Genomic DNA, 24,156 nt, shown 5'->3' with positions numbered 1-24,156 from the left:
AATATTTGAAAATTTTAGTACAAAAAAGAGTGCAAGAGAGGTGGTAGATGAAAGAGGGGAGTATTTGACCTGGGGTGATGAGGAGGAGACATGGCCACTGTTATCTGGTAAACATCTGCTATACTGAAGCAAATGGACACGGTCCCCTTGCTGCTCTCCCTTCTTCATTCTTCCTAGGAACATCAGTGTCATGGTGCTATCATCTTACACAATTGTTGTAACCCAGAAAAACTTTGAGTAAATTAAAATTTTATAAGTTATATTCAACTTTTATAAACTGCATTCCATTCTAAGTGCACTAGGCAAGCTATTTAAAGAAACCTTTGATGGACCCTTTTGTAGTGTGAAAAATTAATCCCAAATGTATCTGTTTTACAGTTCCAAACTCTGGATCCCTGGTTTTCTTCTTCTGGACAGCTAACTAGGTCAAATCATTCTATTCTTAGAGCCCAGCCCCACATAAACACTAATTGGTTTTCACATCTGAAAGGTTGTGTATCAGTTTGTCATTTCTAAATTTACATGATGTAATCCATGTACAAGATGGGATTTCATACCCTGTGGGAGGAGCAACTGCCACATGCTTAGTTTTCCAAATATATCTAGAGGCACAAAATATTTTAAAAGAGGCAGAACTTCAAGAGTGCCTTTCTCAATCTCAGATTTTATCAAGTTATGGTTTTGATAGGAATTAGGGAATTCCTATTATCTGTGGAGAAAATCTCTGACACAATTTTGCACCTCTAAATTTATTTATAAAGAATAATAATAATTAGAAACAAATATACAAACAACCAAAAACCCCATAAAATCAAGCATTACAAAACTCAAACCTATCATCTGTGAACTTCATGACCAAAAATTGAAAAGTAAATGCATCATTTCTCAAGACAGTGTTGAGGTGTCCCCACATCCATACATTAGTAGGGACTATAGGAAAAACCTTGTACTGATTTTTCAAAATCATAATGCTATACTAAAAAATTACATTTTAACTCTGTAACTTGAATTAATTAGGAAATCCAAAGATCAGAAGTTAGTGGTACATTGTAAGGAATTTTGGCAGGGATGATGCACGTAATAAGTCATCAAAATGGTCCCCTTTGGTCACAGATGGTATTTCACCTTGGCTTTCTCTTTCCTCTCTCATTAGCTGCATCCCCTTCTTACAGAATGACTGGCAGGTTAGCATCGTATCATTCTCTTTCAGCATGTTTCTTATACTTGGATGTATATTGGAATCACCTGGGGAACTTTAAAGCATTCTGATGCCTGGGTGCCAACCCCATGGGTTTTGGTTTAATTGGTCCTGGGCACTGGTACTTGTAAAAGCTTCCCAGATGATTCTAATGTGCAGCCAAAGTTGAGAACCACTGTCTCACAAGCTGTTAAACTCATGGCCCTCCTGTACTTAGTCCATCAATTTTTATATCCTTGGGCTCTCTGACTTTAAACACCTATTGATCGCTGTTCTCACTTCCTCTGCCTTCATATACACAAGCTGAAAAGGCAGGCTTGGGAGAAATAGTCGAAGTTATTCACAGATTGACTTCCAGGAGAAACTGGAAGTCCAGCAAATACAAGTATTGGCAAAATATTTCAAGCTTCTGGAACATGCATCTCCTATGCCAGAGAAACTCAGAAAGCACAGGAGAGTCCTGAGTGAGAATTCCAGCTTTGCTTACTTACTCTCCATTAACTTGGGAAAGTTGCTTACCTTTTCTATGAGCCTCAGTTTCCTCATCTATAAAAATTGGAATACCTACTTCCTAAGGCTGAATTAGATGACTATTTAAAGTGTTTAAAATAGTGCCCAGGATGTTCAATAGTGACAGGTATTTAAATGGAAAGAAAAGAGAAAATAGTTAAGGCTCATTCACTGATTACACACCAAGTGAAAAATAATTCCTGTTTATTGAGCCAATTTATCCAATTTTTTATTCTTTATCTGCCCAACAAATATTTCTTACTGACTTTATGCCAATCATACTGCTAGATAGATACTAAGGATACAGTAATGAATAGAACATACATAATTTCTATTTTGACACATTTTAAAACTTAGCTAAACGCTTTACCGATTCCTAGAGTTGATTTTAAGTAGTGCAAGGATTGAGCTTACTCGGAGGAATGGTACTAACAAACTGACCTTGAATGCACGCTCACAGCAAATCCTCAGGGAAATGCCATGCTGTTAAGAGAAACTTGCACCTAGCAGACAGATACACCCTTATCAGAGTTCCATAACAGTCAGGAAGGGCCAGAAGGCTATAAAACACTTTATGAGAATATCAAAAGGAGCATCTCAAAAAAGCTGATGGGTTTTTTCACCCAGCATGTAGGTTTTTTGAAAAATTAGTAGTGGTATACATCTCTAGATTCTTGAAGGCTAGAGAAGCTCTGTCCCCTCCACCCTTCATTTGCCTAACTGGGACTGCTGCTGTGCCTCCTATTCTGTGTAGCTCTCCGTGTATTGTAAATTCTGTGACTTGCCTACATTTTTGGACCTATATTCTTTGCTTGGTTCTGCTGGCATCTTTCAATCAAGTACTGTCACTGCTATGACAATAGTACCTCTCCTTAAAACAACTCTAAGATCTGGTATTATTATCAGTATTTTACATGTGAGATTTAAATAACTTGACAAGGTCATTGAGCTAGTACATGGCAAAGCCAAGATTTAACTTCACATCTGTCTGATTCCACAGCTCATCCTCTTAACCTCTGTCTCAAGTGGACAAACCTCAGGTGACTGTGCTTTAGAAATATCAAAATCTGGCTGTTCAGAGAAATAGCTTTAAAAGACACAAGTAGAGAATAAGAACAGAAGATAGAACTGGAAGATGATGATGTGACCAAATCTAATGTAGTCTTGGCCTATGGGTCCTTTTGAAATTATACAAGAGACTAAAATCCAATAAAAAATGGTGTCCAGTTTGTGTGGTTATCAATCAAACCTACTAATACTTAATTTCATGACATTTTATAGATTAAAGACTTCACGAATCAGAGTCCCATCTCTTCATAGCTGCAGCTGCAACTCCTTTATCAGATCAGGAATATAATAACTACAGCTAAAAAAGCAACAATTGCAATTTGTAGATTGTATAGAAACCCTTGCTAACTCCAGATAATCTTTTCCCACTTAAGAACCTTTACTCTGATAATGGAGTGTATGAGTGTGTATGTATATGCAGGTGTGGGTGTGAGTGTGCATGTGTAACTGGGCCGTGTGCAAATGCTTTGGTGCTCACGTGGACGGAGAAAGATTTTAAACTAGTCTTTTCTGGTCTTCCATGGGTTGGAAAGTATGCACTCTTCAGGGTATCTATGAAGCTCACAGTGACTGCCTTCTTTGCTCCCCATCTAGAACAGGGGCCCCTGACAACCGTATTTATATTAATGAACTATGACCCCATTCCCACTCCAGTTACCCATGCCTTTTGCCATATGGCTTTGCAATTCTTCCCACTAAAAATCAAGTATATTTTTTCTTCCTATTGATGTTGAAGTCAGCTGTGAAACTTGCCAATGGAATGTTGTCAGAGGATACAACTTGAGCAAAGGCTTTAAATGTGCATGTAAATTTGGGCTTGTCCTCTTGAGTTACTAGCCTTTGTCTGTGAGAAGAATATACCCCAGGTAGTACATTTTTCTATGTGGGTGTCCAAGGAGGTTGATAGACCCAAGGAATAGACCTGAACGCAATCTGTAGTTCAGAGTCAAGCTCATCCAAAATGAGCCCACAAACAAGTGAGCAAGAAATAAATGATTATGATTGTATATCCCTGAATTCTGGGATGGGTTATTATACGGAATTATTATAGCATTATATGACAGATATATTTCTCTTTGAAACTTAACATTTAAGCTGAGAGACAAAGAGACTATCTATTGGGAACTGGGGCATGTGAATGGCAGAGCTAGCTATGAAAGAATGTTGATTTCTTTTTCTCTTTTTTCTGACTTACCTTTTTGCTTAATCTTTTTGTTTTTGCTTCTGTTTTCATCGAGGTAAAGTTCACATAGCATAGAAATAACCATTTTAAAACTAGCAACTCAGTGGTATTTAGTACATTCACAGTTTTACAACCACCATTTTAATTCCAAAATCTTTTCATCAGCCCCAAATAAAACTGGGAGACAATTAAGCATTTACTCCCAATTTCTCCCTCCTCCCTATCCCCTAGAAGCACCCATTTGCTTTTTGTTTTTATAGATTTACCTATTGCTATGGACTGGAGTGTGACCCTCCTCAAATTCATATGTTGAAACCCTAGCCTCCCATGTGACTAAATTGGAGAGAAGGCCTTTAAGGAGATAATTAAGGTTAAATGAAGTCATAAATGTAAAGCCCTGATCCAGTAGAGTTGGTGCCCTTATAAGAAGATAAAGGGACACTAGAGCTCTCCCTGCCTTATAAGGACAGAGAAAAAAAGGTGGATTTCTAGAAAACAGGAAGAGAACCCGCACCAGAACCTCAACCATGCTGAACCTGATCTTGGACTTCCAGCTTTCAGACTGCGGAAATACATTTCTGCTGTTTTATGTACCCAGTATATGGTATTTTGTTGTGACAACCTGTTTTATCAATCTGTTCATTGGTTGATGGACTTTTGGGTTGTTTCCACCTTTTGGTTATTATAAATATTGCTCTATAAACATTTGAATACAAGTATTTGTTTAAGTACCTATTTCCAATTTTAGGGTATATTCCTAGGAATGGAATTTCTGGGTCATATGGTAATTCTTAGAACGCTGAACTTCTGTTGCTCAGATCCTCAAAGCTGTTTCCTGGTTTCCACACAGGAATTCTTGCTTGGATGCCATAAAATAGCTTCAGAATACTTTTAATAAATCCCTTTTGTTGCTCTGAAATAGACGTGTCTTACTTAAGCTAGGTTAATGCCTGTTACTTGCAACTAGAGGACCTAGGCTAACAGATAATAAAATTTCTAATTTTTAGTCATAACGTAAGAAAAATGGGCTGAAAACTCCTCTTTCAAAGTTTTTCAGGGGGTAATCAAACCCTGTTAATAGTAATCAAATCAGTTGACTGTCTTGATAAGATTCTGAAATAAGACTTTACTGTGAGATTTGCTTATATTACCACTCACCTTTGGGACAAAGCAGCATAGGACCTTGCATTTAGAGCATATTCCAATTCGAAACGACTTCTTAATGCTGCCACATGACTCCGGCCAGGTCCTCCCCGGTTCACCAGGCAATCAGAAGAAGAAGAAGGTGAGAGAGACCCACTGCTGTTACTTGATGCAGGAGACATCAGCTGAGTGGAGGAGGGGCAATTTCAATTGTTTAATACTTCCAACAGGTGTGAAGACATAACATAAAATATGGATTTAACTTTCTATTCCAAGGTTTCCCATATTTTAATTTCTATTCACTCAGCTTGCTCCTGGCTTTTCCTTTCAGGAAAAAGTCTAGTGGCAACATCTGCCTAGCTTAATTTACTTTTTTGACCCAGTTCTGTGCTGAGAGCTGGCCTGTTAAATTTATGCTCATCTTTCTAAAAACACAGTAGGCCCAACTCAGATTCATAAAATATATTTAGAAGGTTATTATTCAATGATCAAAAGATTCTTCACATTCTTCACTATGGCAATAAGATTTATGGCAGAGTTCCTTTAAATCATAGCTAAAATTATTCCCTTTACATGAAATTATTCCCTTCATGTAAAATGAATTTACACACTTTTCCAAGAATACATCAATTTTATAAGACGAAAAATGCTTTAATGTGTGGCAAGTCTTTTCCCATATTGAACAGGCCACTCCCTTTACCATGTGATAGTTTTTCAGATGTTTAAAACACCTGTTGGACTTGGCTGGGTGTGGTGGCTCACACCTGTAATCCCAGCACTTTGGGAGCCTGAGGTGAGCGGATCATGAGGTCAAGAGATCGACACCATCCTGGTCAACAGATCGACACCATCTGGTCAACATGGTGAAACCCCGTCTCTAATAAAAATACAAAAATTAGCTGGGAGTGGTGGCACGCACCTGTAGTCCCAGCTACTGGGGAGGCTGAGGCAGGAGAATCGCTTGAACCTGGGAGGCAGAGGTTGCAGTGAGCTGAGATTGCGCCACTGCACTCCAGCCTGGAGACAGAGCGAGACTCTCTCTCAAAAACAAACAAACAAACAAAAACCTGTTGGACTCACCCTAATTATCTCTTTTCTGTGATAAGCATCATTAGCTCCTTCAACCGGTTTTCATGTTACGTGATTTTCAGCTTATTCACCACTCAAATCTCTCTCTTCTAAAATGTGTATCCCAGTTTTAATTATTCCTTTAAAAGGCTCACAGACACAACTGGATACCACTTTGCCATTTCAGAACAAGACTAATCATATCTTTTATTTTGCAGCAAGACAGTCACTTTATATTTTAACTCCCAATGAGCTTATTATCCACTAGCATTCATGATGCTCCTAAGCCAGGTCTCCACCATTTGATACTTTTATTATTTTTTCTTTGGCTCTGCTGCAGGACATTATATTTATATGTATTCCTGTTAAAATTATTCTTGTTAGACATGTCCTGTTACTTCATCCTCCAAGATCTAGGGTCCTGCTTTCAAATACTTTCTGTCCCTCTTAACTTGATTATATCTGCACATGGGATGAGTAGCTCCCTCTTGGCCTTGATCTAAACCGTTGACTGAAAAGTTGAAGAATAGAGAGGATAAGGTCTTATGAAACTGCGCAAGTCAAGCCTCTTTAGGCTGACTCTCATCTGTTAATTAGTGCAACTCAGTCCAGCAAACTCTGTCAGCATATAGCCCATTCATCTTCTCCCTTGGGGAGAGAGTATAAATAAGAGGCTTGATCAATATATTACAATAAGACAAGCTAGTTTAGTAGATCCTATCATGTTTGTAGATCCTATCATGGTGGATTCCTTTTTTCTGGAATCCACCTCCAGATATATCTATCCCATTAGGCTCGAAGCAAACTCACTCAAACCCTAAGTTTCAAAATGAGAGGATATTTTAAATTCAAGTCTTGAAGGTGTCTCTTAATACCCAAGGCTTCTGGCAGATGCTTTTGTCCACAGGGGCTGCTGAAGCCCCACCAAATATATGACTACTTCTCCCCACTTTCTGTAAGTCCCAGTACTGAATAAGAGAAGGGAAAGAGGATCTTAGGTCTAAACACTGAAGCTTCTTTTTACACAAAAGTTTTCTTTAGAAATTCCAGCAAAGAGTCATGAGACAGAGCCACTCACTGCAGGCTGTAACTGCAAATCCTTTTCCAATAGACTAGGTCCAATGACTCTTAGTTGAGTTTTTTTTTTTTTTTTTTTTTTTTTTAGAAAAAAAAATCCTGCTTTTCTTGATGGTTCCACTTTGAGACTTAGTGGTGCAATCTCAGGTTGATGCTATTTCTCTCTATTGTTGCCCCTTCCCTGCATATGCAAATGCATATATGATCCTCTATGTGTGATGTATGTCTTCCTCCACCAGTAACACTTATTTCCATTTGAGAATATATTATTTTTCAAGTAGTGTGCATGTTTTAGCTCCCTCGATTATTTTGAAATGCTATCTCTTGACCAGGTGTGTAGAAAATTAAGGCAATTGTAGAGAAACTTAAAGCAAACAGCTTTAATAAGGCAAGAAAATTCCATTAGCCTGATTACCAACATATATCACATTAAGCAACATATATGTGGTGTGAAAGCAATGCATTCCAACTAATTTATGAACATATTTTATTGATAATTTTTCTTTTCGCATTGAATGTAAATGAACAATGGCTTACAAATCTCTGTATGAAGAATTTTTGCATAAAAATTGATTAAATAATTACCTTCTAATGTATTTGTTATACTTTCCAATTTTTACTTATCAATTTTTAAGCTGAGCATGACTGTGTCCATTTGCCTGCCCTATTATTTGTTGGAAGGTCTCGAATTCACTCTGACTTTGCCTTTGTCCCTGTAGATACAGCTAATTCTGCTCCACCATAGGAATTTAATGAATAGGGCAAATATGGATGGAGTTATGGGTCCTCACAGTAACTTTTCATAAGCACCAGCTCATCTACATTCCCTGACAGCCTTGGATATGCAGGGCTTTTTTATGGACATATTTCAGAAGCTAAAGCTTTTACCTCAATGTTGCAGAGACACTCTTCTAACTTCATGACAACTTCAGAAAATTCGGGTCTTCCCTGTAAATAGAAAAAAGAACTTTTTTCCCTTAAGAATAAAAGGAAGGAGACTCTCTTTGGATGTTAAAATTGGGTATTAGCATTTGTAAAGAATGAGATTAACAATAAAGTATATTTTTATTTAAAATACACTTTTATTGAAGTGTTAATTGAATGTTCATTTGCTGTTCATGGAGAGATGTTGAGTCTCCCTCTGATAAGAGTTTTAAGTCAGAATTTGCAACTACATTCAGATAATGAAATAGTGGAAAAGCTTTAATTAGCTTTGCATGTTTTTAAATGGCAGGTTTCCTCTTCAAAATGAAAGAATAATAGTGAATACTAAAAACTATTAACTATCTCAGTGCCTTGTAATACACTGCACACTGTGTATAAAAAGAACTGCTAAGGCTAGATTTATAATGAACTTCACTTTTGAAAAGATCATCTCAGATTCAAAACTAAGATGATGATAGAAACCTCAGGACTATGCCTTACTTTAGGGTTTAAGGTAAGCTTTTTACCTTCAGACAGTGCCATTAAAAATATTGCCCATTATGAACCTCTGTGTCAGACGAGTTTGGTTAAAAAAAAGTTTATTCCAAATATATTTCAAGCTTTGTTCCAGTTGCAAGGGATATAAAAATGATTATTGGAAAAATTCTTGGAATTTTAGAAAATGTTGGCCTCTTCTGAGAAAATTGTCTTCTTTTGTCAGATCCTAAAACTATACACCCTATCATTTCTCCTTTTTTGAAACTTTCACTGCCAGGAGGTGGAGAGCCCAATTTAACATTCAGGTTCAGTAACCAAATAATTTAGATTCTTAGTAGAACAATTTCTCCCTTACTATCTAGCCCACCCCTGAGAACACTGCTTCCCTTATAAGCTGTTTCCTCTCACATACTCCTTGTATCTCTAGGTTGGTGGGGGCAGTGGGAGCAGTGGGAGCAGTGGAGTGAGCAAAACCCTGTGTCTTCCTTGCTGTCACTGCTACTTCCAAATGGTTTCTCCTCTAAACACCACCAGCTTGTCAGGCTATACCACCAGAGTCTAGCCACACCCCCTCATTCTTTGGGGATTTTAAAAACTGGCTTACTTCATACTCTCTAACACTACTCTTTGTACTTTTATTATCCATGCAAATGATCATTAAAATAGCCTGACCTCTGGGTTCCTTTGCCTACTCTTCTCCAATGAGCTTGTCCTCCAAACTCCTTTAGTCACTCAGCCCCTTAGTTATACCCTAGACCCTGTCATGACCAATGCCTCCACCCCTCCATGCTCTTTAACCTCTCAATCTTTATCAGACAACTCTCTGAGCTGTCCCTTTCTCTCTACCTCACTTCCTCTAGAAACCTGACTCCAACAAGCTTTGATCACACTGGTACTTGGAAGCCATTTTACCACTTAAAACAAAACAAAATAAAACAAGAGCTTTTTATTACGAGCAGTTCCAAATATGTCCTAAAGTAGATGCTCTTCTTTCTACCTACCTACCCATCTGCCTATCTTTTTCCCTACTTGTTTTTTTGCTCACTTCATCATCTTTTCGCTGTCACTCACTTTCCCTTTACCTTATATTTCATTTACATTTATCATTAGATTCACTTCCAACTATCACTCCCTTCCACACATCCTCAACTCCCTTGCTTCATCTTGCATTTGGTACAGTACTGAAAGAATCCTAAACTTTATTGAATCCATTCTGCCTGGTCTCACTTCAAAATCTTGACCCTCTAATCTCCCATGGACCGTCAGTACTATTCAGAGAGCCTATTACATATTTCTAGTCCATTCACTCTCTCACACTTCGGATGGCTATTTTGTACCTTTTCCTCTCTCCTAAACCTCTAGCTCCCACTACTACATTGACCTACTCACCTATGACCTACATAATTTGCCCTCACTTTTGTTTCTGTGGATGAAATTTGCCTGATTCTCAGGCCAACTCCTTCACTTGTGTGCTCCAGCAATAATTCTCTCATCCATTTTTTTTTGCATCGTTCATGTTCCTTCTGTATTGTTTAATCTCCACCAGCATACAGACATACTATACATTCTCCTATCTTAAAAACAAACAGCAAAATAAAACCCTTAACGTCCTCCTTCAAGCTACTGTTCCATTGCTGTTTACTTTACAGCAAAATTGTTCTAGAGTTATCCAAATTTGCGGTCTCTAATTCCCCTTCTCCCATTTGCAATCCATCCTAATCAAGCTTTCTCCTACAACACTGCTGAAACTGCCCTTGTCAAGGTTACAAAGATCTCATTGCTAAATTCAATGGTTACATCTCAGTGGTCATTTCACTTGGCATAGCATTAAATATAAGCAACAATTCCTTTGTCCCTGAAACATGTTTTTCAATTGGCTTTGAGGACACCATTTTCTTATTTTATTTTTTTCTGCGCTCATTGGCTTCTTCTTAGTCTCCTCTTTTGGTTTCATCTCTCCTCCTTATCTTTAAGCTTTTTATTGCCCCAAGACTCAGTCTTTGAGTCTCTTTACCCTTTAAAATTAATTTGTTGAGGAGTTAATTCAGTCTTATGTCTTTAAAAAACAACTTCCAGATTATTATCTCTAGCCCAGTACTTTCTCCTGAACTCTAAACTCATACATGCAATTAATTATATTTATAGCCTTTCCCATTTCAGTAAATGGAAACTCCATCCTTCTGCTTGCAGAGGCAAAAAAAAAAAAAGCAAAAAACAAAAAACACACACAAAAAAAGTGATGATGTTTGACTACTCTATCATACTTTACTCTTATATACCAGCAAATTATATTGATACTACCATTCAGTATCTGAATGATCAAGTAGCTTATATTAGATCAACCCTCCTACAGAAAACAACGAGAAACTCTGGACAAAATGTAAATGACAGCTACCTGAAGGCACTGGAAAGTTAATAAAAGCAAGTAGATCCTGGAGGGGAGTGAGTCACTTAGAAGAAAGGAACTAGTATATTTCCCACCTCTCTCTCTCTCTCTCTCTCTCTCTCTCTCTTTATAGCATTTAGCCTGAGGGTAGACCACTTCTGCATTTTAGGAAACAATTAAAATTCTGATGGTTTGCTTGTTTGAAGGAACAGAGGACAGAATTCAGGGCAACTGGAGTGTATTAGTTATTGTTTTATAACAAATTACCATAAACCTAGTGATTTAAAACAATGTTCATTTTTTATCTCAGTTTCCACTGGTCAGGAGTCCAGTATAGATTAGCCGGGTCCTTTGCTCAGAGTTTCACTAGGCTGAAATCAAGGAGTCAGCAGGCACTGTGATTCTCATCTGAGGCTCAAGGCCTCTTTTAAGCGCATTGGTTGTTGGCAGTACTGATTTCTTTGTGGTTGTATGACACATGTCTGTTTTCTTGCCATCTGTTGCCCAGAAATGACTCTCAAATTCTAGAGGATGCCTACAGCTGCTTGCCAAATAGGCAGTTCACAACATGGCTATTTGCTTTTTTCCTAACCGGCAAGGGCACATGCCTGACTTCCACTCTGTGACCAGCTGTAAAACTTATTCTGCTTTTGAAGGGCTCACCCAGTTAGGTCAGACCCACTTGGGATAATCTTCCTTTAGTCATATGATGAAACATAATCATGGGAGTAATATCTCATCATATTCACAGGTTCTGCCCACACTGAAGGACAGGGTATTCTACATGGCATGTACACCAGGGGACAGGAATCTTGCAGGTCATGTTAGAATCCTGCTTATCACAAATACGCAGTAGAGAATGAGAGGAGATCCTGGAAAAAGCCCTGGAGTCTGTGTGTAAATTCTACCTCAATCTCTGGTTTGCCCCTGAACCACACATCCATGAGGCCGACTAACCGGCCAGGTAGGACTAAAATAAATGAACTGAGATTAGATCTGCTGCCCCATGCAGGGCATTGTTCTTACTGTTTTCTCAGACTGGAATTACCTAATGCTTATTCTCTGCCCATGGAAATTCACTGTACTCTGCAAGGCCCAACTCAAGAGCTACATCCTTCTTAAAGCATCCAAGTTATTCCACAAAGTAATTATTCACTTGCATTTAGATTTACTTCGTTTCTCCTTGTGTTATAGATAGGTATTTACATGTCTATCACTAGCTAGAAAGTTCTTTGATACAATGGTTTATTTACTCTTAGACACCTAGCACATTCCATCAGACAGGTTAAATGAGCTCAAATTTGTTAAATTAAATTGCATCATTATGATAAAAAATCATCTGGAATATGCTTACCTCTCATCCTTCTCTACACCACATCATCCCTTCCTTGTATTACTACAATTGCCTCCTATTTTTGCTACTTATGTTCTTTGCTTATCTAAAAGTAGTTCCCAACTCAGTAGTTAAAATGATCTTTAAAAATAGACATCAGACCAAGTAATGCCACTCACTATAGCCTCCAATTACTTCCCATGTTATTTGGGTTAAAACGCTATGTCTTTGCATTCATCTCTAAGGTATACAACAACCTGCTCCTATGATTCTGTGCCCTACTCTTCCTCTTACACACTCCACTCTGGTCATCACACCAACCTCCTCATGCCCTTGAGAACTTTGCATTGGATCCTCTCCACCATGACACACTAATGCCTTCACCTTCTCCAGCTTATTGTTCAAATGTTGTTTTATCAGAGAGATTTTCCTTGTTTGCCATATTTAGAGCCCTCGAGTCAATGCGATCTTCTCCTTTTCTTGTTTTATTTATTCTAGAGCATTTATCACCATATGACTTAATACATATTTTATATTATTTGTTTATTGTTTATATCCTTTTATAGAAAGTACACTTCACAAGGGCAGGTGCTTGTCAGCCCCTGCTCTATGCCCAGTACTGTGAGCAGTGCCTAGCATGCAGAAGGTGATCTACAAATGCTTGTTGAACAAATGATAGAATTAATCATTTTATGTTTTTTCTACATTTTATTTTGTTCTCAAACTATCTTATTATATAGGTAGAGGGTTTTATTATAATTTGCTCCTTGTTTTTTTTTTTTTAATCAACCAGGGAAGATATTATAAATGAATTGTCTTTTTTGAACATAAAATTCAAATGATGTTAAATATTTCACTGGGGGGTTGAGAAAGCTTTAAAATAAAGGTAAAGTTTAACATTTACTAAACACTTAGAGTACCCATTTAACTCTTATAATACTCTGTACTGTAGACATTTATTATTTCTATTTTACACATGAAAAAGCAAAAAATAAAAAGAAATATTTTTTTCTAAGATAATATAGTCAGTAAAAACAGAGCTGAATTCAAAGCTAAGTAGAGCTTGTGAGCTTAATCTTGACATCATACTCACTCCCTAGGTGTGGCATTTAAATCTATAAGGAGTAAGAATTTAGTTGTAATCATGTAAGACTCAGTGTCTGAGATTAGCTTTGCATACTAGAAGAAACACTGGATTGAAAGTTAAAAGACTTGGTTAAATACCTACCCGCTATGTGATTTAGGATGGTTTGCTAACCATCCTGAGCTGTTTCTTTAGTCTCCAATTGGGTTGCAGAATTAAAAGAACTAAGTAAGATAATGTTTGGTGAAAGCACTACAAACTATACATTGTTTTGCAAAGTAACTTAATTTTTTCAAAATACTAATAAATATGCCCTGGATGTGAGCTCTCTGAATTTATAGTCAAATGCTTTAACATTTCAGTTTAAATTCTATGCAAATTAAGGAATGTAGTTATTTACCTGGCATCTTAAGAGAACACCAAGATGCTCATTGAACAGTAGAAATTACCAAAATGCCTCATGACCTGTATGTACAGAAATAATGGACAGTGAATGCCAACATTATGATATACATTGCCCTCTACTTTCCTTTCAGGTGGATGGCTGGTACTCTTTGCCATCATGTTGCGGTTGGTGGCAGCTTGCCCTGAGTCATGTGTGGTGTGCACCAAAGATGTAACCCTCTGTCACCAGCTAACCTATATAGTAGGTAATAAAACTAATAACTCTAAAAAGCAGTGCTCAGTGTACCTGGAAAATTGGTTGCCATACCTTTCATTGTACTGACTGTTCTCTGGGCTCAGCTTAAGAGGTAACCCTTTAATGAGTACACTTCATACAATGACTAAAGAGACTGGCAATATTTTATTTTCCTGTTCCTGATGGTCTCAATCAAAACTATTTAAAGACCTTCAGAGGTAACTGAGTTATTTTGCTATTGCAAAAGAATATCACCATTTTATCCAGCTACACACTTAACAAATATATCACTTTAATATCTTTGTACATACTTTGTGCAGATTTGAACTCTACCACCAGCTGGAAGAAATATCAATGAATCAGAAACCTGAACTGCAATTGTTCAGCATTAGTAAGATTAAGTGATGTACCAGTGAAACAGATTATTATCAAAGTGCGTCTCATTTTGAAAGTCTGGTCTTTTTTTATTGGTGGTAAATGAGCTGTAGAAATGCTAACAAGATACACTGCCTGTATTCATTACATATTGCTTGCTTAAGTCAACAATTTAATAAGACACCTTATTAACAAATTTGAGGAGAATGTGATTTACATCCTGATATCCAAGAAGAGATAAACAAGCTATAAGCTCTGCCAATGGAAAATTTCCATAAACAAGCTTGAGTTACGACAGAGTGGAAGAGGATAATTTCTTCCATTTCTAATATCCCACGACTCTGATAATTAGGAGGTAGATGTTGTCACCATCCTTGACAGGACAGAGAGGTTTTCATGGATAGTTGATGTGTATATCGTTTCTAATCAGTATTGAAAATGCTTTAACACTAAACTCTCACCATCTAAAATGGATTTCTTGACTTCACTACATTTATTTTTCCTGATCAGAGACAGTTGATGTCTGTAAGAAACAAATATTTCTCATCTACATTGTTGCATCTCTATATCCCCCTTCTCATTTACAGAACACCATATTTGTGAAGTTAGATTTCATAAATACAGAGAATAAAATGGATGAATTGTGAGTGGGGTTTCTGTCTAGACCTAGACAAGAAGTAATTGACAGAAATAATAGCCTGCTCATTCAGAGTCAGTAAATCCCTAAAGGACTGGGGACCCATGAAAACAAACCTCCTTCATCCCATATCTAAAACAATGATGAGAGAAACAAAATGCCGAACTGGCCAGAATTAATAGAATCCAAATAATCAATCATAAATGCTGAAAAAATCACCAGGATTTAAGCTTGCTTGTGCTGCAGGGATGAGAACAGTTCTTCCAAAAGAAGGCACTCTGAGAATCTTTTGTCTTTTACGTATTTTTTAATCTCTTTGTTTCCGCGATGCAGTCTGAATTTCCTAAGGGATTTGTGATTTGCTTCCCTGGGGTTGACTATTCTAATATCACCTATAGACCTCCCAGTGACAATGGACTCCTCTATCCTTATGACACTGTCATTTGCAGTCAAAACAATGTTAGCATGATAAAGATGTGTTACAATGACTCCTGATTATAATACTTCTTTATTGAGTTAAAATGCTTTGATTTCTAATGACAGAGCAGTGATAGCTCTGAGGTGATTATGGTGAAGGGATTTAACAGTTGGAAGCCCTGAGTACCACCTGTCATCACATGATGGACTTCATTGGAGGGAACAGATATTAGACAGGAGGCCAAGATGGCCCAGACTATAATGAGAACCCCACTGACAGGTACTTGGGTTGTCTGGATTGAATATATATCCTTACCAAGTTGCCAACTTTTAGCCTGGGGCTAGAAAGCAGAAATCAATGCTCCTTCTCACTCTCCCCATCCCAACTCGCACCTTTACTTTTGGGAGAAAAGATGATTGACTTCACAGCATAAATACACATTGCTATGGAACACTGACTATGGGGGTCAGACACAGGCTCAGCTCTTAGTTGATTCTGTCCTGGATCTGCAGGGCTAGATCAGGTCAGTACATAGCCTCGGAGGGAGGGCCTGAAAAGACACCTTCAAAATAACATCGATGAAGATAATCCGAAACAATGAATTAACTTTGACATCTAAAGTAACAGATGGGTTTATGTTTCTCAAACAAACATGTCACAGCAGCAAAGAATATAAAAATCCATCATTTTGATATATAGCCAGCTTCCCCTCAAATTTGGAAATCAGAAAATCATTTTCATTTTTTGTATTGTTTATTGTTTTTACCCAGGTGATAAGATTGCTCAGAGGATATTGATTCTCTGCTCTCCACCATACCCCCTCCCTCCCACTCATGTGTACCCTGCATCTAGTCTGTGCTTTTTTCCCCACAGCAGCCCCTATGACCACGAGGGTTTTAATCATCACCGATGGATATCTCTCCTCTATTGAGAGCACAAACCTGTCTCTCTTGTTTAATCTTGCCCTGCTCTCCCTAAGCAGAAATGGTATCGAGGATGTTCAGGAAGATGCCCTGCATGGGCTTACGATGTTGCGGACCTTGTTGCTGGAGCACAACCAAATATCCAGCTCTTCGCTCACTGATCACACCTTCAGCAAGCTTCACAGCCTGCAGGTACTGGTGCTGAGCAATAATGCTCTCCGCACCCTACGAGGGTCTTGGTTCCGAAACACAAGCGGCCTGACCCGGCTCCAGCTGGATGGGAATCAGATTACTAATCTCACAGACAGTTCTTTCGGAGGCACGAATCTCCACAGTCTCAGGTATCTGGATTTATCCAACAATTTTATTTCCTACATTGGGAAAGATGCCTTCCGGCCCCTGCCTCAACTACAGGAAGTGGACCTTTCCCGAAATAGGTTAGCCCACATGCCGGATGTGTTTACTCCACTGAAGCAGTTAATCCTTCTGAGCTTAGATAAGAACCAGTGGAGCTGCACTTGTGATCTCCATCCCCTTGCTCGGTTTTTAAGAAACTACATTAAGTCTTCTGCTCACACGCTCAGGAATGCCAAGGACCTAAATTGCCAGCCATCTACCGCAGCTGTGGCAGCTGCACAGAGTGTGCTGAGGCTGTCTGAGACCAACTGTGATTCCAAAGCTCCCAACTTCACTCTGGTTCTAAAGGACAGAAGTCCCCTCCTCCCAGGACCAGATGTGGCCCTGCTGACTGTCCTTGGCTTCGCAGGTATGCCGGGGAGAAGTGTGCCCTCCTCTTTTCTCTTCTCTTGTCCATATTTTTGCAGCATGCTAAGTGATGCTTATCTCAGACACTTGGTTGCCAGGGCTATGGAAAGGAGAGGTTGCCAGTAGATGTGGGAGGATATTAGCTGATTTGGCACAGGTTGCAAGAATTTCCTGTTTCAGGGAAGCTGTCTAACATAGAGGAAAGGGCCCTGGACCAGAATTCAAGGGCTCCAGCCCTGGTATAAATAGCATTGGTGACCTTGAACAGGTTAACCTGCTATTTAGACTTTAGTTTCCTTGTGTATAATACAGGAATAATATCTATATTTCATCAATCATCCTTTCACCAAAGAGTACTAGTGCATTTGTTATGACACTAGGAGATAGATATTTAAAAACTGATGGGACATAGACTCTTTCCTCAAGGCACTTACATTTGTGTGCTTCTCCATGGTGTATAGTAAGAGTCAGAGGGCTTTCACAGATGGACGAAGAGATGCTATTATGGCAATCTCATATATCTTAGTCTGCAGTGTTTGTATGGCATAGTAGTTAAATAAATGAGCTCTGTAGTTGGATTACCTAGGTTTGAATCCTGGCTCTGCTATTAGCTGTGTGACTTTGGATGCATTATCTAACTTCTCTGTGCCTTGGTTTTCCTCCTGTTGGGTGGTTTTGAATTCTTCTAAGATTTCTGTTTGTCCAACTCTATGTAAACTTGGCCCATACTTCCCCAGACCAACTAAGGGGAGGATAATATGCAATTCTTTATATATTTTTTGTAATTTAAAATTTATGAAACTATGCATCAGCTATCATTACATCTCACTGGATGAATAATATAAAATGACACTTAGTGTCATTAGTTGAAGACCAAAGATGCATGAGATTTCTTAAGTTATCTAGCTCGATGTGTGTGTTTTCCTCTATGCTCTCAGTGCATGGTGAAATCCTCTGCACCTGTGGGTAACCATGGTGATGAGGGGGTGGGGAGAGAAAGAGAGAGAGACCAGAGACCAACAAATGGCATCCAAGACTGACGTATTTTAAATATGTGCTATAAATCATTATTCTGTAACAGTTATCTAGTGAATTAATTGATTGTATTTTTACTTCCTGACAATTACACTTTTAATCAGAATAGATGGAGACCAGCATCAGGTATAGACAATGGAACTACCATCAGCAGTAATCCAACTCACTTGGAAGGAAATTCAAATGTTAGGAAAATAAATTCTTTTAAAAACCATGTAACTATGTCAGTAATTGTATGTGCTAAGAAATAATTTACCATAAAAGACATAAGTGATAGGGCAGCAGAGAGGTTTCCCTTAAATGTGCTTCTTAGAATACTAGCACTGGTGGATAATTAATAGATATCCCAATAAAAACACACAGATGCACGCATAGGCAATAGATGGTGGGGTTCACATAGGTTTAGAAGGTACTAAGTTAAGCAAAGTGAAACAGGTATACTCACTGCAGCACTTCTCGTAACCTTTCATTTTCTAATAAGCACTATAAATTTCTAAGAAGAAGGTGTGATATGGAGCATTTCTTGAACTTATTTGGCCATGATCCCTTTTTTTCATAGAGGATTTCATTGAATTTGTGTTCTAGAGGACATCGTTTTGGAAATATTATAATAGAGCAATTTTTAGTATCTTTTAGTTACTTTTACATCTGTTTTCAGAAATATGTATTCAGAAATATATTTAGCTACATTAACAGTTCTTTATTAGTATTGAGATGAATACAAATTCTAGAAGATTCCAAAAGTTTTGTCAAAATGACTGGGAGCTTAATATACATGAATAAATTCTGATAAATTATAAATATGATTACATATATGTTAAGTTTTGGTGTGAATTATCATACTAATATATCTTTCATCAAATAATTGTTAAATTGTAGTGCTTTGAGAAGAGATTCTTCTTTAAAAAGACTCTGATTTTTGATGTTAATTTGCTCCATTAAGATTCCACTCTTTCTGAAGCACACGTGTGGTGAGTTATCTATACTTCTAGATTGTGGGAAAAACACTTAGAACTATAATTTTGCCTATGAGACCATTTTCTTCTTCAGCTATATCTAAGTCATAAAAATTCCAAAGAACATAAATAGCTATATTTGTAAATTTAAAACTAATAAATGGTTATTTGGCATCAAACACTAATATCTTGACACTTACACTATGAACTGGTAGATAAAAAGTTTTTATGAAGCTGTAATGTGTTTCTAATGTTTCAATAAGAACTTATCATTAATTTTCCCTTTTTCTCTTGCCAACACAGGTAGATTGTTAGAACACTTTTTAAAAATAGAAACAATGCCCATGGCAAAGAAAATTCAAACGTCTTCTTAATAGCACATTCCGCCTGCCTACAAGCTTCATTTGCTGCTTTTGCTTTCTGCACTAATGGAAAGTGACCATACCTGACTGGTAATGGGATACAGATATATACCTAGTATCAAGAGCAGGGGAGTGAGTGGGTCCCTGCCATTCAGACACAATTAGAGGAGAAACTGTATCCTATAATCAAATTATGTTTACTCTCATTTCAGTGGCTGATTCTTGTCTTAAAGAAAACTTAGCCCTTTTGTTCCTTCATTATTTGGTCTACTAACTGCACTAGTCATTTAAAATATCATCATAATGATTTATTTTTTGGATTTTTTTGTTCCTGACAGGTGAGTCTTCCAGGAACCAATAGAGCAATGCAAAACCTAAACAATGGTAGCTCAGTAATAATAATCACAAATCACAATGAACATTCACTGAATCAAAGCACTGTATTAAACATGTCACATATATTATTTAATCCCTGGGTAGTATTAGTTATCCTCATTTGTGAAAGGAGAAAAAAAATAAGTGTTAGAGGAATTAGAAAATACCCAAGAAAAGTGTCAGAATATAGCTTTGAATCTTGAGTTTTCTTACCCATATGAGTTAAAGAGTGGTTCTAATTTTTAATTTTTTAATATATTCTTTAACATTTTAAAACCAAAATCCTTGTTTGGGATAATTCAAACTCTAGAATCTATCTGTCAATAAAAGGATTATTATTTACATAATTTTGCTACAACTTTAAAAATGTGCCTTTAATAGAGATTGCTTCAATATGTTATAGCACTTTCCAAGAGTGTATTGTTGGCAAATGAATTAAAATAGATTTAAGAGTTCAAGATATGGTAAACTATACAATGGTATGAGGATTTTACCAGAAACTGCTATTCTCCATGTTTGCTCTTCATCTTTAACAGAAAAAAAAGAAACAATCATGACCTGATACCCTCCCTTTTCATTTAAGTTTTAAAAATATGTTTTCATTAATATTGTCTCCAGTGGATAAAACTAGACATGGTGTAGCCAGTCAAAGAATCTGGAATGCTGTCTTTATTTCCAGAAAAGGGCACTGTCCTCAGGCAGATGTGGGTTTAGGGCACAGATCTCTTTATTCAATCTGTACTGACACCATATCTTCCTAATCACATCTTGAGAATTTATAAGATTAGATCACCAATGATTTCATTATCAGAATTCATAAACAGAATCCCTTCTGTTGATTTAAGAATATTTAATAAATATTTCTGCCTCCTTTGTCTCAGAGTTGTGGACACTGGGGATAGAATGTTGAACAGGACTAAAAGGATGTGTTGCCTCACAGTGCTCAGTTGTAGCAGAGGAGGACAGTCTGCGAACAAGCATATGAATGAATAAACAGAATAATACACCTCATAAGGGTGAAAAAACAAGGGAAATCATTGTGATAGACAGATAATGAGGATATGACTCAGGGACATTGGTTTGAACATTTAGGTGGTTGAGGATGCCATTTGTCAAGACAGGAAAAAGTGAAATAGAAACAGGTTAGAGTCGGCACATGGGTTTGAGAAACACTGGATCTTGCAATTTTATTCAGAGGACAAACTACATAGAACATGAAATGACAGTACCAGGCAGTCTGAGATTAGAAGTCATTCACTCTATTATGAGAGTTCATAAAAGGAGGTGACGTAGACCGAAAAAATAATGTTACTGCAGGAACTGTTTTATCTTAAATGAGTTTCAGTTCATGAAACAGCCTTTTTTTCTACCAAAGAGATTCCAGATGGTGTTGTTTCTTATAATTTTTAATAGGTATAAAGATCCAAATTGGAAAGCAGAACAATGTCAATGGTAGCCTCTGTCTGGACTGATATTTTTCCAAATGGTGAAGGACTTCCTACCCATTCTGATATCTTTCAAGCCATTAACCTTTATATTTGTGGTTTTTACATTTGATGATTTATGTGTTTCTTCCCAAGATGTTATCTTTTAATGGTCTCTCTATTTGTCATAGGAGCTGTTGGTCTCACTTGCCTAGGTTTAGTTGTATTTAACTGGAAACTCCACCAAGGCAAAGCAAATGAACACACATCAGAAAACCTTTGTTGCAGAACCTTCGATGAACCCCTGTGTGCTCATGAGGCAAGAAATTACCACACTAAGGGATACTGCAACTGCCACTTAACTCAGGAAAACGAGATAAAGGTCATGTCCACTGTGGGGTCCAGAAAAGAAATGCCACTTTTACAGGAAAATAGCCATCAAGCAACATCGGCCTCTGAGTCTGCAACCCTTGACGGATCATTTAGAAACCTGAAAAAGAAAGACCGTGGGGTAGGCAGCACTTTATTTTGCCAGGATGGTAGATTGCTGCATTCGGAATGTTCAGAGCCTCCTGGAAATATGAGAGCTTTTAATGAAGCAGGCTTACTTACAACATATAATCCAAGGAAAGTTCAAAAGCTATGGAATCTTGAGCCTGGAGAAGTCCAGCCTCAAACTCTGCAACACCATATAATAAGAACAGAAGGTGAGTTTGTCTTGTTTTAGAAAATCCCACTCCGTTTAATTCTTTTTGAAGGAGGGAGCCTCCCTCCTTTAATTTCCTCAACAGGAAATACTATAAAAATCACTATAGCACTAGTCTATTCCTTTTCTAAAAATACTGTGTGTGTGTGTGTGTGTGTGTGTGTGTGTGTGTGTGTGTGGGCTGAGGTGGAGATGAAGTGTTCTTACTTTTAGGAGCTGACAGTGCATCTCCTGACTGCTAAAAGTAAATTTTGAGGCCCAACACCTAACAATGTTAAAAAAAGAAAAAAAGTAGCCTTTTAAATAGCAATAGTGCTGTTAAGATCTATGGGATAGCTAGTATCAGCTTTTATTCCAACATCCTTCGAGCTCTAATGCCAATTCTGCAGTAAGCAACCTTCCCAGAGCATGACATGTTAGAAGAATGGGCCCTCTAATGCTAGTGATTCATTTCAGGAATGATGTCAAGAAACGTACTTTGCTTGCTGAGCTGTCAGGGATGATAACTTCCCAGTCCAGGGAAAGTCAGGACTTAATTCATTGTCCCACACTGGGAGCCAAGTGAATCTGGCCGTGACATCTACCCACTGTACATGGGCGATGTCAATATTTAGGTGAAGGCAATGAATTAAACGTCTTCCTTTTTCTTCCTGAATAGTAAGGCTACGCATTCAGGCTCAGCAGTGAAAATGTTGACAGCTGCTCTGTAAAGAGGTTCCTGTCATTTATTTGAATTGGTTCACAACAAGCAGAGCTTTCTCTAAGAGTATGAATGACAGAGGTGCTGTATCAAGAAATTCTTACCACAGGGGTCTGGCCCTAAGGATGCATTTTGGGGCGACTGGATAAGAATAAAACCATATGTTATTTCACGTATGTTATAAGGTAGGATGTGAGTTTATTCCATTGCATTCCCACACTCCAGTTCTTACCAGTGTCTGGGGGTTGATGATTTCACACAACAGAGGGATGGCTGAGGAAAGAAACATATGCCATAGAAACCAGGTCAGACTGGCTTTATTTTATAAAGAAATAAGCACTTACCCTTTCATTAGAATCATACCTTAGGCAGATCTTTCATTTCATCTTTTAACTTTGTCCAATGCCTGAACTTCTCTGTGGGAAACTCCTATAACTGAAGGGGATGTGCTCTTTTAACCATTTAAAACCCAGTCTGTTGTTTTCACACTGAGAACACTGGTTTGTCAGATTAACATGAATACTTTTAAGAAATACCAGAAATTCTGCTCTATGCCAGGCATTGTACCAGAACTAGAGAGGGCAGGTATTTGAGGAGAAAACAGCCAAGGTCACATCTGCTCCAGAACAGAAATCGGTAAAGAAAAATTGCCACTCTGATTATGCCTTCTGACTTGGAAAAAGAATTATAGACTTTCCAGTGTAGAGAGGACTTTAGATCTAGACTAATAGTTCTTAATGTTTATCTTTGAGTCACAGAACTCTCTGAGACTCTGACAAAGGCTACAGATTCTTTCCCCAACATAATTTGTTTACTTACATAAAGCTCCCATCTAGTCCAACCTTCCAATACACAGCGAACAAGCAGCTTCTCCAAGGTCACCCAGAATGTTGACGGCAGATCTTAGATTGGAATTAGATGCTAGTCTGGAACTTAGTTTACCTCTTGGGGAAAATTGGAGATGGAGTATCCCCACCCTTAGGAGCTGAGAGTACATCTCCTGTCTACTAAAAGTTAATTTTGAGGCCTAACACCTAACAATGTTAAAAATGAAAAAAAAAAATAGCCTTTTAAATAGCAATAGTGCTGTTAGGATTTTTTGCGGTTAAGATGTTTTGCAGTTAAGATTTCCTTTTTTCTCATGGAATAAAAAACTTCTTCCTCTGGATGAAAAAATTTCATGAAACAATAGAAAGTATACTAATAAATAATTTTAAATTTTAGATGCATTGTGGTTAAGACAATAGGGTCGTTTAATGTCAGATAGACTTGGGTTCAATTCTTGGTTTCAACACTTAGCTGATGTGTGACTACGGGAAAGCATTCAACTTCTTTAAAGCTCATTCCTTCATCTGTAAAAGTTATAAG

At 37.7% G+C, this 24,156-nt stretch overlaps 3 protein-coding genes across 6 annotated transcripts in view; 1 reads left to right on the top strand and 2 right to left on the bottom strand.

Moving 5' to 3' along the window:
* FPGT-TNNI3K (FPGT-TNNI3K readthrough) overlaps window positions 1-24,156 on the bottom strand; it is a 346,187-nt gene that overhangs the window by 47,045 nt on the left and 274,986 nt on the right. Inside the window, exons 24-25 of the mRNA NM_001112808.3 lie at window positions 8,136-8,195; window positions 5,118-5,287 (exon numbers count right to left, since the gene is read on the bottom strand). Coding sequence (NP_001106279.3) covers window positions 5,118-5,287; window positions 8,136-8,195 — 230 coding nt within the window. The remainder of the gene's footprint in view (window positions 1-5,117; window positions 5,288-8,135; window positions 8,196-24,156) is intronic.
* TNNI3K (TNNI3 interacting kinase) overlaps window positions 1-24,156 on the bottom strand; it is a 309,042-nt gene that overhangs the window by 47,045 nt on the left and 237,841 nt on the right. Inside the window, exons 22-23 of the mRNA NM_015978.3 lie at window positions 8,136-8,195; window positions 5,118-5,287 (exon numbers count right to left, since the gene is read on the bottom strand). Of these exons, the coding sequence (NP_057062.1) occupies window positions 5,118-5,287; window positions 8,136-8,195 (230 nt within the window). The remainder of the gene's footprint in view (window positions 1-5,117; window positions 5,288-8,135; window positions 8,196-24,156) is intronic.
* Window positions 1-24,156, top strand: part of LRRC53 (leucine rich repeat containing 53) — a 67,704-nt gene that overhangs the window by 39,696 nt on the left and 3,852 nt on the right. For 2 of the 4 annotated variants that reach the window (XM_017003081.2, NM_001364666.2), the window contains exons 2-3: window positions 16,416-17,231; window positions 21,574-22,089. In XM_017003081.2, the coding sequence (XP_016858570.1) occupies window positions 16,416-17,231; window positions 21,574-22,089 (1,332 nt within the window). Of the gene's footprint in view, window positions 1-14,008; window positions 14,123-16,415; window positions 17,232-21,573; window positions 22,090-24,156 lie in introns of all 4 variants that reach the window. The other 2 variants (NM_001382280.1, XM_011542512.4) reach the window with 2 other exon arrangements.

The sequence above is a fragment of the Homo sapiens genome, chromosome 1 (genome assembly GCF_000001405.40).
Source record: "Homo sapiens chromosome 1, GRCh38.p14 Primary Assembly".
Classification (NCBI taxonomy): Eukaryota; Metazoa; Chordata; class Mammalia; order Primates; family Hominidae; genus Homo; species Homo sapiens.
The sequence above is the reverse complement of the archived record's forward strand: the minus strand, read 5'-3'. Positions and strand labels throughout refer to the sequence as shown.